At 34.1% G+C, this 15,618-nt stretch overlaps 1 protein-coding gene across 11 annotated transcripts in view, besides 1 other annotated feature; it reads right to left on the bottom strand.

Annotated features, from left to right (window-relative positions):
- Positions 1-15,618, bottom strand: part of CADM2 (cell adhesion molecule 2) — a 1,115,441-nt gene that overhangs the window by 1,037,370 nt on the left and 62,453 nt on the right. The window lies entirely within an intron of this gene.
- Positions 6,573-7,131: an enhancer, noted in NCBI's record as "NANOG hESC enhancer chr3:85079080-85079638 (GRCh37/hg19 assembly coordinates)". NCBI's record gives its function as "activates a minimal SCP1, AML or CMV promoter by ChIP-STARR-seq in naive and primed H9 embryonic stem cells {active_cell/tissue: H9 hESC(naive and primed)}" and the evidence as "EXISTENCE:reporter gene assay evidence [ECO:0000049][PMID:30033119]".

Genomic DNA, 15,618 nt, shown 5'->3' with positions numbered 1-15,618 from the left:
TAGCTGGGATTACAGGCGCCTGCCACCACAACCAGCTAAGTTTTTTTTTTTTTTTTTTTTTTCTATTTTTAGTAGAGACGGGGTTTCACCATGTTGGTCAGGCTGGTCTAGAGCTCCTGACCTCAGGCGATCCACCTGCCTCAGCCTCCCAAAATGCTGGTATAACAGGCATGAGCCACAGCGTCTGGCCAGAATCATATCTTAATAGCAATCCCATAATGTAGTTTTACCAGAAATACCATAGTCAATTTTACAGGGTGGGTTCAGTTTTTCTTAAATTACTTACCCCTAAGATTAAAGAATATTTTAAAATATTGTTATAAGAGACATAACTAAACTATTAGGTTTGTGCAAAAGTAATTGTAGTTTTTGCCATTAAAAGCAATTATAAAGAAAACGGGATATAATAGAGTTACTTCTAGCTTGAAGGATAACATTCTTTTTTGCTACTAAAAGTAATGGCAAAAACTGCAATTATTTTTGCACCAACCTAATAGGCAAGAGAACCCAAATGGCTTTTAGAAACTATCCTAGTCTCCTGAGTGGGTAGAAAAGTTCATTACAAATTCATAGTTGTCAATAGCTCCAAGAGTTATTGGAGCTTAAGTTTAAGTTATTTTTAAGTCTTTAAGTTATTTTTTAAAGGCTTATTTTAAGTCGTTAAGTTATTTTTTTCCTCTTTACTCCTGAATCAACTGCTTATAATTATTTAAAATTTATCTAGTTTATTTTAAAACATTCTTTCTAATAATGATTTTTTTTTACATGTATGTCTAGTTTAAATTCCAGTGCTACTCTCTAGATTGTTTGAAGAAATGCTGCACATTATGTTGGAGATGTGAACAGTGCTTCAGAACCACAGAAGGAAATACTCAGAATCAAACAGAATGATAAACAACAGACAAGCAAACAAAAACCAAGCATAGGTAAGAAATAATGTATGACAACCAAAACCTAACATTCTTATATGTCCTTTACTTAAAGGTGTATTTCTCTTTTTACATAATTTTTAAATGAGGGATAGTGATACATAGTCATTAATGCTAATGTAATGGATAATAACTATGAAGGAGAATGCTTAGCACTGTGCTCTCTATGTTACAGGCAGATAAAACAGCAGTTACGATTATTTATTCTATAACTTTAGATTGCTTAAAGCAATGAATAGATATTTTCCTGAAAAACATTTTTAGAGGAAAAGCATAAAGAATAGTAATTACTACTCAAAAAGTAGATTTCATAAAAGTAATGATCAAATACTGGCATAAAAACAGACACATAGACCAATGGAACAGAACAGAGAAACCCAGAAGCAAATCCATACATCTACAGAGAACTCATTTTTGACAAAAGTGCAAAAAACATACCTTAGGGAAAGAACAGTCTCTTCAATAAATTGTGCTGGGAAAAAAGGATACCCACATGTAGAAGAATGAAACTAGAGTCCTATCTCCCCCCATATACAAAAATCAAACGAAAATGGATTAAACACTTAAATCTAAGACCTAAAGCTATGAAACTACTACAAGAAAACTTTGGGGAAAACTCTCTTGGACAGTGGACTAAGCAAACATTTCTTGAGGAAGAATCCACAACACAGGAAACCAAAGCAAAAATGGACATATGGGTAAATATCAAGTCAAAAAATTTCTGCATAGCAAAGGAAACAGTCAACAAACTGAAAAGACAGCCAGCGGAATGGGAGAAAATAATTGCAATCTAGCCATCAGACAATGAATTAATAACCAGAATATATAAAGAGCTCAAACAACGCTGTAGGAAACAAATCTAATAATCGGATTTAAAAATGGGCAAAAATATGAATAGACAATTATCAAAAGAAGACATGCAAGTGGCAAACAGGTAGACGAAAAGGTGCTCAAAATCACTATCATTAGAAAAATGCAAATTAAAACTGCAGCGAGATACCATTTTACCTTAGTTAAAATGGCTTTTATCAGCCAGGCATGGTGGCTCATGCCTGTAATCCCAGTAATTTGGGAGGCCAAGGCGGGCAGACCACAAGATCAGGACTTCGAGACCAGCCTGGCCAACATGATGAAACTCCGTCTCTACTAAAAATACAAAAATTAGCCCGGTGTGGTGGTGGGCAATTGTAATCCGAGCTACTTGGGAGGCTGAAGCAGGAGAATTGCTTGAACCCAGGAGGTGGAGGTTGCAGTGAGCCAAAATCGTGCCCTGCACTACAGCCTGGGTGACAGGGCAAGCCTCTGTCTCAGGAGGTAAAAAAAAAAAAAAAAAAAAAAAAGCAAAATGTCTTTTATCTAAAAGATAGGCAATAATAAATCCTGGCAAGTATGTGGAGAAAGGGAAATCCTTGTATACTGTTGGTGGGAATGTAAATTAGTACAACCATTATGGAGAACAGTATGGAGGTTCCTCAAAAAACTAAAAAATAGAGCTATCATACTATCCAGCAGTCCCACTGGTAGGTATAGACCCAAAAGAAAGGAAATACGTCAGAGATATCTGCACTCCCATGTTTATTGCAGCACTATTCACAATAGCCAAGATTTGGAAGCAAACTAAGTGTCCATCAGCATATGAATAGATAAAGAAAATATGGTGCATATATGCAAGACAGTACTATTTAGCCGTAAAAAAGAATGAGATCCTGTCACTTGCAGCAACATAAATAGAACTGGAGGTCATTATGTTAAGGGAAATAAGCCAGGCAAAGGTCCCATGTTCTCACATACTTTGGGGAGCTAAAAATGAAAACAACTGAACTCATTAGAAGCTGGGAAGCGTAGTGTGGGGGGCAAGAAGGGGGAATGGGTACAATTAATATGCACAAAAATATAGTTAGATAGAATGAATAAGACCTAGCATTTGACAGCACAACAGGGTGACACAGTAGACAATAATTTCTTGTGCATGCCTTTAAAAATAACTAGAAGACTATAATTGGATTGTTTATAACACAAAGGAAGGATAAGTAATTGAGTTGATGGACACTTCATTTACCTTGATGTGATTATTATACATTGTAGGCCTATATTAAAATATCTCATTGTACTCCATAAATATATACACCTAATATGTACTCACAAAAATTAAAAATTAAAAAACGTGATGACCATAAATATTGGAAATACCAATATTAGCATATTAATAATGGACATATATAAAGGAAGACATGACAATGCATGCCTCAGAAGTGGGTTTCAAAACTACCCTGTGGCACACTGGTTTGAATAACCTACATATGCTTTTGATTCCTAATCACTTAGGCCATTTCTCTTTTTGATCCTGATATATTGTACTTGCATTCTCTTTCCCCACACACAAACTACACATATTCAGAAACTTTTAATTGGTCAGAAAACACTTTCATAAAACCTCAAACTGTCATTCTTTCCCTTGCTTTTCTCTCACTCCTTTCTCTACTACATAGTTTCCCTTTCTAGATCATTTCTTCCCTATCATTTTATTTGCTCCAATATTCTAGTCCCTGACAATATAACCGCATCAGGAAATACAGGGAATATAGTTACAATACAAGGAATAACAAGGAATAAGGAATAACAGATTTTATGCCAAACATGTTTGTGAGTGGCTACAGAAAGGGGATAATGCTTGTCTTGGGTATATTTCAACACACCTAACAACTTAATTCAGAGTGTGGAAAATTCTCTACCATGGCATTTAGTTATATCTGTCTCTATGAAAGAAAACAGTGTAAACACAAAGAAGCTACCTAAAAATAAACTTTAAATTCCCATTCAGTGAGCACCTTGGGAGTAAAATTCCAATCAGGGAAGTGTGAAATGTAATGCGTCGTTAGGGAATAAACCCAATTTTTAATTACTGTTGGCAGCTAGAGAATAGTGTCCTCACAACTAGTTAATTTCATATTTTTGTAAAAACAACGTGACTTTATCATCTCAAAAAGCAAAAATGATAGCACAGAAGAATGGAGACATAGCTTTTGATTTGGCTTAATTAAAAACGAAAGCAAAACATCAGCTATGTTTTTTTATCTGTAATTTTTTTAAGTAGAATTTTTCCTTATTCTCTCTTTTCCTCTATGCAAACAATGATAACTAAAAAAAGATATATAGAGAGAATATTACTGAAAATCTCTCAGCATGCAAGAGAAAAACAAGATTTATTAAGAAAAAGAAATGTTATTTTCTCACAATTGCCATGAAAAGTTTATTGTAGAGTCTTTCATTAAATTGGCAGGAAGGAAGGCCACTGATGTCAAAGCATGTATATTTAGTTCATTTTATTCTCTTTTTCAAGGTAAGTCATGCAGGAATGCTCGTATAGTATGTGAAAAATGAAGTCATTTGAAAAAAAACTATTCCTAAAAGTCAAAAGATGATATTCCACATTGTCAATGTGACAAAACCTACTCTAGCACAATTCTTAATATAAGAATGCAGACTTCTCCGATGATTAAAGGGAGAGACAGGTAAATATTTCATTGCAATGCATACAGAATTGATAGATATACTACTGAAGAGAAAATGCACAGTAGATTAAATGTATATATTTAAATTCAAAATTATTATACTGTGGTAGATTGTTTCTTTTACATTTTTTTCTTAAAAATAAGACCCATAATTTTAGTACATTCTGCATGTGTCTTTAGTGGTAAATTTGTCTCTTTTGATTCTGAGCGTCCCCACATGACTTTCTCTGTCTGTGCTTTTGCAATAACAGCATTGAAGAAAGAAAAGCTGCTTCACCAAAATGGCAATGTGGTCCTCTGCCCACAAATTTCCTTGAATTGTCTTTCATGCCAATGTTATCTTTGTGACCTTGTTTCCAGGTCATCCTTTCCAATTTATGCAACTCAAGATAAAAAAAAAAAACCAGTAACTGGGACTACCAAACCTTCTAGAAAGTGATTTTCATTTCAAATATAGCCACTTATTTATTTGTACCCTAAATGGATTACTCATGACAAACTGTATTTGGCATATAGATGACCAGTTTATCATTAGGGAACTCAGTACTGATAGAAAGAGAAACATCCTGAAAATTAATAAAACACATAATTAGTGAGTATCTAACATGAACCAAGCAATGATAAATACAGTATGTATCAAGACATGAGATACAGTCTTTGCTATAAAGGCATTTGCAGGACCATAAAATGAAAAAATTCCTATACTGGAGATACGTAAAGCTTTTTACAGAAATGTACAAAAGGGGATAATTCACTACCTGATGAAAATGATAAAACAATATTAGAAAAGAAACATCTGGGCCGGGCGTGGTGGCTCACGTCTGTAATCCCGGCACTCTGGGAGGCCAAGGCGGGCGGATCACGAGGTCAGCAGATCGAGACCATCCTGGCTAACACTGTGAAACCCCGTATCTACTAAAAAAAAATACACAAAAAATTAGCCGGGCGTGGTGGCGTGTGCCTGTAGTCCCAGCTACTCGGGAGGCTGAGGCAGGAGAGTGGCGTGAACCCGGGAGGCGGAGCTTGCAGTGAGCCGAGATCGCGCCACTGCACTCCAGCCCGGGCGACAGAGCGAGACTCCGTCTCAAAATAATAATAATAATGATAATAATAATAAAGAAATATCTGAAGATAGAAAAATCACTTCGGGTAAGGGGAACACAGAACACAGTTAGACAGAACACCTGAAAGATTAAGTTCCAGGATCCACAAGTTGCTGAGAAGAGCTGAGAAGGTAAAGAAAATCAAGATAAGATAAATATTTCACTTGTTCATCTCCACATTCACCTTCCAGCCTTCTCTTACCTGCGCTATGCCCTGCAAGGCTGACATACTAACTCAATTGGCTCCCTTGTCTTTTGACTGCCTGTTGAGTTAAATCAGTGCAGATGCTCGTAGGATGGGAGAAAGAAAGGTGAGTAAGAAATGAGTTCTGGGTGTTTATGGCCGTCGCTTCACATCTGTGAGTGGGCCAGTGGCTGAATCTATCAACCTCAGATCACAGTCACTGTCAGGCCGTCCTTTCCAGAGGGCTTTATCTGCCTCCTAGTCCAGTAACCACAGCAAATCTTCAACATTAACCTCACACTGCCAGGTGGTAAAGGTGCCACAATTACTGGTCTGTAGTACTTCACTCTCCCTTTTGCTTTCCTTACATCGTCCCCACCTCTCTGTAAATACCCCCTTTATAAAATTCCACTCAAGTTAAACTAATTTTAGTATACCATCTGTTTTCTGCTGCAACCATGACTGATACAGGATGGAAAGATATTTAGTTTTTTAGGGTAGGAGTTTCTCAGGGGAGAGACGGAAAGAGTTTCAGAAAAGAGAACTTAATTCACAAACCAGGGTAATGGAGGACTCGTGTACGCCAAGATTGAAGACCTGGCTGGGAGGGAAAGGTGTGGGCTGTAAATGGAGTTCTCTTTCTCTGAGATTGGGAGGAAGAATGTAGATATATAAATATAAGTAAGATGGAGGGTCAAGGGAATTCAAGGAATATCCTGTTTGACAGGTTTTATTAGTTCAGTTAAGTAGATGGCATGGCAATTTCTATGGAGACAGCAGAAGATGGCTCAAAAGTTCATAAAAACAAAGATGATTTTCATTAGCAGTGAGAAAAGCAGTCTATTATTGACATTGGTAATGATCAATAAACAGTTGAGGTTGAAAATGATCCGTGGACAAAATATGCTGGTCGTATGTCCTTGGCATTGTCTTTACCAGTGTCTTACAAATGATGTCAGGATCCATTCATTGAGGTTGCATTGAAGGTTGAGAATAACAGAGCATATAAATGAAAATTTCTGGTCAGAGCACGGTGGAGTTGTCTTGCCGTTTGATCTAGGTTACATAACAAAAGAAATTAACATAGGAAAGGTTGTGTGACTAGAATAGGAGGGAGCAATGAATTGTCTAAGTGTTTCAAGAGGCGAAACTAGAGGAGCAGTGATATCAAGGTTGAGAGGTAGTCAGAGTGAATCTTGGAGTTTAAGATACTTAATGCAGAAAAGTTCTGGAAACGATTACGTCCTGGGGACCAGAGGAGTGGGTTGCTGAAGTAGACTGGAGCAGAGGAAGTGAGAAAAAAACAAATCTGTGAGAGTTAAGAATTTGACATCTGCGGTTTATTGAAATACTTTAGCATGATGCCCAGTTTTCAAGTTAGAAAAATGAGTGTGAGTGGGTGAAGAAGTGCTATTAAAACATCAGCCCTTCCACCTGTGTAAGATGCTAAATGTGAAGGAACATGAGAAATGTCCTATTGAAAGTCTTTTATGAGAAGAAGTGTCACTAGTCAGATACAAGGTGAAGATTCAGTTTGATGGCAATAGAAGATTTTCAGAGAGCAAAGTACCAAGAGTTTGTAGAGAGATGAGCAGGTTGAGAATGGATCTGAAGAGTTAGAAATGGAATGAATAAGGATAACTTTCCCAAAGATAAAAGCCTCTCACTCTTTAGCATTAAATGAATACTCCATTTCAAGATCACAATGGTGAGAAACACACTGCTCACTGTTCTAACAGAGAGAATCACTACACGAATGGCCTTGGCCACCTCCAATATATATACCTTTCAAATTCATACTGTCCAAGATAAACCCTTTTTTGCTTTGTGAAACTTAGCAAAGTAAACCATCAAACTGACACAAAGAACGATTAGCATCTACTTTTATCAGGTGGACATCATTTAAGAGAAAGATCCTTAACAAAGAGACTCTCGGCCCATCTCAAGAAATAACTATTACCACACCATAGAAAGACCATTTTTTCACACTTAGAATTTTCTTTGGATTTATGAAATGCCAAGCATGAATAATTCAGCTCATAAATGTCCATGATACTCAAACTGTATTTGATTTATTGCTAGAATATGTATAGAACCAGTAAAATGACAAACTTTTCAATACCAAATGTAATTCAAACCAAAAGCAAGCACAATTTATTATTTTATATATTTAAAAAACTTCTAAAATAATATGTTCTTCAAATAGAAATAAAATTTAAGTATAATTCCACTTAATAACTAAAGCTTACAAGCAGCCAAATTTTAGTCTATAATTTGTAAATAGAGAAGGAAATAAATGTTATAATAGTATTAAATACGTGTTATAATAGTATTAAAACACATTAAATTTGATATTCCAATTTATTCACATACTGTTTTATTTCGGTAAAACAGTATGTGAATAAATTGGAATATCACATTAATAAGCTATACATATTCTAGGGATTTGGATAATAATTTTGGAATATATTTTAAAAAGTTGAGATGTCAAATGAATGACAGTCCTGTAGTGGAAATTAGTGATAGGAGGATAATTCTATCTTGTTTCCTGATTTCTTGAGTTTTCTCACTGTTACTAGAAAAATTGAGACCTGTCTAATAAGGAGATGGAATTCTTAGTTCTTACATAACTGAGTATACCAGTCTTCTGTATGCTCACATCAAATATCACGAGATTTCTATTTTCTTTCTTGTATATACTGAAATATATTTTATTTTCCCTGCATTAACAGAGGAGTCCAAAAGGTCTCCAGAGAGTTTTGTATTCAGAAATTTTGAAATAAGATAAATTTGTACTTTAAGATACTAATTGGCACTGTAAGACCTTAGGTAAATTATACAATTTTTTTAATTCATAGTTTTCTTAGTTCTAACATAAAACAACAAATTTCTAAATAGCATGGTTTATATGAAAATTAAATGAGATAAACTAATAAAAGTATCTACCTCAAGCCTGACACTTGTCATGCATTCATTATTGATCCCTCCACATGTTGAGAAAAGCAGTTTAGGGAGAAGGTCACAGTCAAATATGGATGGTTCAATACAAAGAACAAAGCTACTGACATTCTATCACATCGAATTTAAATCCTGCCTCTAAAATATGTCAATTGTGTAGCTATGACAGCATGTTTTGTTTACCTTCTCTGATATTAGGGTTCCTCATCTGTAAAATGGAAATAAAAATACCCAGTGCAGATTATTCTAATGAGGATGAATGGGAAACCCACATAAGGAACTGATATAACGCCTCACATATCCTATGAATACAAGGGTTTGGGTTTTTTTCTATCTCTGCCCCTTTACAAAGTTGAATTATTTTAATAGTGTAATAGCAAAATGATTTGAAAGGAAAAAAGAAAAAAAATTCTGTATGCATATAAATGGTATCTGTTTTAAAAATAAAATTATAGGGAGATAATTTTATGATTGAGATCTATGTTCAAGTTAAGACTGGTTTGGGCAAATATTCCAGCAGAACTGGATTTAAAACCTCTTTGCCACTAACAGGCTGCGTAACTATTGGCAATGTTAGCAAGTTCATTGTTATTATATCTATAATATACCTATCTCAAATGTTCCACTAGAAGATTAAATATTTTAACTATTTTATGTAAAGCTCTTTTTACAATGTCTAGCTTAAGGTAATTATCTAAAAATATTTGACTTTATTATTATTCTGAAAACATTCTGATTTTTGAATCAAAATAAATGAATCTTTATATGAAGAAAACGTTTGCTCATTTTTAAATTTAGAAATAATACAAATAAAATATACTATGAAATATAAAAGTGGTAGTCAAGTTTAAAAGATGTTTATTAGAAGATAATTTTATATTTATAGAATATTAAAATTATTCCAGTGAAACTTCTCAGTTATTCTAACTACTTACATAAAACGAATTTTAAAAAGAGATAATAGGCTGGGCGCGGTGGCTTACGCCTGTAATCCCAGCACTTCAGGAGGCCAAGGTGGGATCACGAAGTCCGGAGATTGAGACCATCCTGGCTAACACGGTGAAACCCCATCTCTACGAAAAATACAAAAAGTTAGCCGGGCTTGGTGGCGGGCGCTTGACGTCCTAACTACTCAGGAGGCTGAGGCAGGAGAATCGCTTAAACCCGGGAGGCGGAGGTTGCAGTGAGTCGAGATCACGCCACTACACTCCAGCCTGGGTGAAAGAGCGAGACTCCGTCTTAAAAAAAAAAAAAAAAAAAAAAAGGAAAAAGAAAAAGCAACAACAACCACAACAACAAAAAAAATAGTGTCATAAAAGCATCACATGAATATATATTAAGAGCACTAAGTAGAAAAAGATGCACTAAGAGAAAGACATGTCGTGAAAAACTAATGCCTAGCTGTCGTTAGTCTATAATTACTATAAGTTAGCTAAAAGTAGTACATAAAATAGTTGTTTAACATACATTTTTCCAGGGTATATACACTAGCATTTTTAAAAAACAGTAAAGTATCTCCATTTTCAACCAAGCAGATTAATGTAGGGCTTATAGTTGCATACATACCATAATTTTAACCTAATGTAAGAAACAACGCTTTCTAAAAAGTGTTTGCAGTTCTGACAATGAGAAACTTATTGCCCAGTTTCCCTCTGGGTAACTTCTATATTCAATTAAGGATGTTTTCATGTTTGGTACATTGGCTTTTGGGGTACAGATAGAAAATTAGCTTTGCTGACTTATTTTGTTCTCAATTTCTCTTAAAATTCAATTTACTATACTAAATCATGTGTATTGGTAGCATAGGCATAAAATAAAATTACTACAATTTGGACAAAATATAAAACTACAAGGAGGATTAATCTTAATGTTTCATAAGCTATCAAGTTTAATAGCAAATAAAATAATTGGAAACTTGCTTTATTCTGCTATATTGCAATAGTTTTGAATAAGGATAAAAACTAGGAAGTTATTGGCATTTAAATATGTTGCAAAATATTTTAATTTTTAAGTTAGATAATCATAATTGTACATCTAATTTAGCAACTGGTTTGCTATTAAATACTATTTAGTATGTAACAATTTGAACATATAAGTGAATCAACCTGTGATCTTCACTCCATACAATGGAAATTAGTGCAAAATATTTTAAAAATATTTTTGGAAGTCAATGTATAACTCACAAAGACATTTTTATCTGATATGAAAACTTATTCAAGAATAATGTAAATTGCTTAAAAGAAAATATTTACTGTAAAATTATTATTTTTACAAAAGTCTTGAGTTTGACTTAAAATGAGCTTCATTTGCTGGTTATTTAGTGTTAGTCACTCACTGGCTTAACCATAAAGCCCTTGAGCACCCACCTGTGAAGAATGTGTTGGCAAAGTGCGGAAACAGTAGAGAGATTCAGAGCCAGAAAATCTTTATTTCTTTGAGCATGGCATTTCACGTTTATGGACCTAATTTTTCTCACCCACTAAAAGAAGAGCTACCGGGCAATGATACAAAAGTTCTCAGCCATCTCCTGAATTCTAGAAATAATGTGTTTTTTTTTTTGAAACATGATATAGCGAAAACATTCAGAATTGATAACTTTGTTTAATATAAACTCCGTCTATTATCATTTGAACAAATTTAGGAAAAATAACCTACGACGGTCATTTGACATGGATGATTTTGTAAGCAGGTGCACAGGCATGTGTAACAGTGCTTTATAAGCTCTAATGCGCTATGCAAAGGGAGATATTATTGACTCCATTGTTCAATGTTTGTGAATATTCCTTGACAAGCAGGAACAGACATGTAAGTGGACAATGACTATGGCAAACGCTAGCAAGCCCAATGTGTCAGTTGAATGTAATATAGTTTATTAGTCAGCTATATATTTGGTAAATATGGATAATATTTCCTAAAGTTTACTCATGGAAGAAAGAACAAATGATGCTAGTGAGTACAGTGTATGACATCTTTGAATTCCAACTAACCCATGCTTAAATAAAGTGTATACCCAAGCTTTCTATAATTTTTATGTTAGAATCAGCACATTTCTTGACTGTAACTGCTTTAACAGGGACCCACATAACCTGCCAAAAACCTTAAAAACACAGTAAGCACTTAGATTACAAATAATATAAACCAAAAATAATTTTAACTAACTCAACTGGAACATGAAAGAACCTTATTTCATTTTGACATAAATTACCTCATGGTTTTACAGATCACTGAATTTCTGTAGTTTGAAAAGATGAAGTTAATAAGGAATGTTAAGTAGTGTAATTATATTTTTCAGTCTCATCTGACAAAGAGTAAGTTAGTTTTAATTAGTTATAGAAAAACCTGGCTTAAATACTGTTTTTTTTTAAGGCTGAATAACATTTATCTAGATTTATATTTAATGAAACAGAAAAAGAAAATTTAAACTAAAACATATTGACGCCTTAACACAATCACAGGATTTTATATTTTGTAAAAATTAAGAAGCTTCTTTAATTTAAGGTTTATATGATTCTTTGAATGAGACTATTGTATATTGTATGTTAATGCAAATTTCCCTTCTGAATCAAACAGTTATTTATGTACACACAAATTCAGAACTTGCTTCCTTTACACAGCTGCTTTACTTCAAGAATTTAGTTTTTTAATGGATAAATTAATTAACGTATTTTCAGTGACGACTACATATAAGTAAACAGTAAAAAAAAAAAGAAAAACTATAATTACTGCCTTTCCCTCTGACTGTAAATCGATATCATAGTAACATCTCATAAATAATTTTATAATTTCATTTATATGTTTTGTTACGTGGATAAAGATATAATATCCATTTATTTTTGAACAGAGAATAATGTGAAATACTTGCATATATGCTGTAACCATATTTATGCTCGAGCAGAACTTTTTATAACTTATGATTATAACATATACAACATAGGATAATGGTTAAGGGAATAAGCTCTAGAATCAGATCAACTTGGATTTTGAATTCTGACTCCTACATTAATTGGCTACATAATCTTGGGCAACTGAGTTTAAATTCCCTAAGCTTCCCTTTTCTGTCTATAAAACTGGAAAACTAGTATTACTTACCTCAAAGAATATATCTGAAAGTAAAATGAGGAAAGGCACAGGCCAGTGTTGGGCTCTCCATGACAGTTATTGTTATTTACATTTTTCCTTTGATGGCTGATAACTTGCGAGATATTTGTGGCTTTTACATCAGAAAGCAAAAACATGTTTCACTCCTTGTGTCAATAGAGCACTCCAGTTCTGTATTTTTCAATCACTGAAGTTTAAAAATGCTATGGCTGGGGAAAGCAAATATATATGTTTGGTATCTTTAAATTTAGCCCCCACAATATCTAAGAAAGATAAGTTTGTTTCTTATTTTTGATATGAAAACTTCTGGAAATGTCACTTTGTGTGTATAACACGACTTGAGAAGCAAATCCCAAACTTATCTTAACATAAATAATAAATGATCTGTTCTGATAGTAAAAATATTCTTAAGCACATAGAAAAATAGACATGACAAAATGGAGAGAACACAACTATTTCAAGCATCCAATTTTAAAGCACAGAACACTAAATTTTAAAAAAATGATAAAAATGGGTAACTAAAAAGGCATGGAATATTCATATATGTATTTTATTTAGGAGTGACAGAAATTTTTCCATGTTGAAACATTAATGTACACATCAACTTTTACCCTGAATGTTTAAAGTTATAAGTATAGTTCTAAATAATAACAGATGCTTCATATTCTTGGCTTGAATAAAATGGTGGTTTGAATTTTTATAATCCCAATTCAAGGAAGGAGAGAGGGGCCGAGACCTTTTTCCTCTAGACTCATGAAACAAGAAATCCAATCTATACCACTAGTAATAAACCTACTGGGAAAACTGATAGAGCAGGCAGAAAAAAACATAAAATTGGTGCAATCTATATAGCCCTGTTTCAGGAAGAAGGAAAAGAGAAAAATTGCCTGAGAAATCACAAATAAAAAGCATGTTTGATAAGATAGAAGACATATTAAAGGGAAAAAATACCCTGCAAACCAGCCCTACTGAGGTAATAAGTACAAATACTAGAGAGGTTTTCTTAGCTGAAGCAGGTCCAAACAAACAGAACAAAAACAACAACAAAACCCTCCAACAACAGCAATAACAAAAACTAAGTATAAGTAAAATCTTTGGCATGTCTTTTTTCTAAAATTTAGTCTGAATTCATTTTTAAGTTGAACAGTTCTGTAAATCCCTTCCATATAATGCACTTAAAACTCTTTCTTTACTATTCACTTTGTTTATAATAGTATAAATTATTCTGAGCAATTGAATAGTCTTTGCTATTTTATTTAGACTAAAATGCTCATTTTATAAGTAGAAAATTAGAAGCATAACTATAAAGACTTGTATAATATATGTTTGCAGAAATTTGGGATTCATATTATATAGTTACCATATGTTATAATAAAATAAGAAAAAGGTCTAATATAACACTTCAGAGTCTTAATGGATACACTGAATGTACGATTAAGATAAAATTAGATGAGGAGTATTATTTTGTGTAATCATGTTTATTCTACAGTGATTTTTGAGTCTCTATTATATAATGTAGATACAGATTAATATATATTGATGAATAAAAAATGGCCTCTGCATTAACAGAATTCAAAGAGCAGGGAGGGAAAAAAATGCACACTAGAATAATGTCAATGATGTGTGGCAGGTTACAAAGCGGTATATATAATAGGCATCACTAGCACAAGGAAGGAAAGTGATTTACAGGTTCATCCAATGAGGAACCAAAATAAAAACATTTAGGCCATGGAGCTAGTAAGAGGTGATATGTGAAAGCAATTTGTTGGTAGAGCTTGAGAACTAACTAACTAACAATCCTGAAACACTTCTCTGGGGAAGCAGAAGCTGTGCCATTGCATTTGAATAAAGACTACTAGGAATATAAGAACGACCTAGAGAGGAGCAATCCCCCAACTGCTGCACCATAAATCAAGAATATTCTATAGTCTCTCTAAACCCTTAAGTTACAAGCACAAAGTGTATCCAAGTTACAAGCATAAACTCAAACAATCTGGGTATAAATATGTGATAAAGACCAAAGATGCTTAGAACATTTGCATATGGGAAATCTGGGAAGCTGGGTGTTTTCAGGGGAATTCTTGTGAACAAATTTAGAAGATGATGTTACTATGGTGCTGTTCTAGATGCTCTCATGTCAGCCTGTCCCCTCTTCTTTTTGTCTAATATCTATGAGCCCCTGGCTCTTAAGCCATTTTGTTCTTACGTTATTTTTCCCTCTGTTAGTAGTTTAGCAATACTGAAAGAAACACAGGATGTATTAGAAGAATTATATGCATGCTAAAACACACATAACAGTTCCTCTATGAGGAGCCATATTCAAAAAGATGTGTTTACAATAGTTCTGTTAGGACAACACACTCCATCAGCTAAGTTAGCAATCCCCACACTGAGTTCTGTAAGATTATAACACGTGTTTCACAAATATAACACAGAGAGATGATAACAATGTTTTCCTCTAGAGTGTATTTTTATTTTTTGTTTTTATTAATTTATTTTTGAGACGGAGTTTCGCCCTTGTCACCCAGGCTGAAGTGCAATGGCATGATCTCGGCTCACTGCAACCTCCGCTTCCTGGGTTCAAGCGATTCTCCTGCCTCAGCCTCTCGAGAAGCTGGGATTACAAGCACCCACCACCACGCCTGGCTAATTTTTGTATTTTTAGTAGAGACGGGCTTTCACCATGTTGGCCAGGCTGGTCTCGAACACCTGACCTCAGGTGATCCACTAGCCTTGGCCTCCCAAAGTGCTGGGATTACAGGTGTGAGTCACTGCACTCGGCCTGCGTATTTTTAAATATAGGGAGGAAAAAACAACAACAACAACAAACTCTA

This window comes from Homo sapiens, chromosome 3 (genome assembly GCF_000001405.40).
Source record: "Homo sapiens chromosome 3, GRCh38.p14 Primary Assembly".
In the NCBI taxonomy this organism is placed as follows: Eukaryota; Metazoa; Chordata; class Mammalia; order Primates; family Hominidae; genus Homo; species Homo sapiens.
This window is presented reverse-complemented; position numbering and strand designations above follow the sequence as displayed.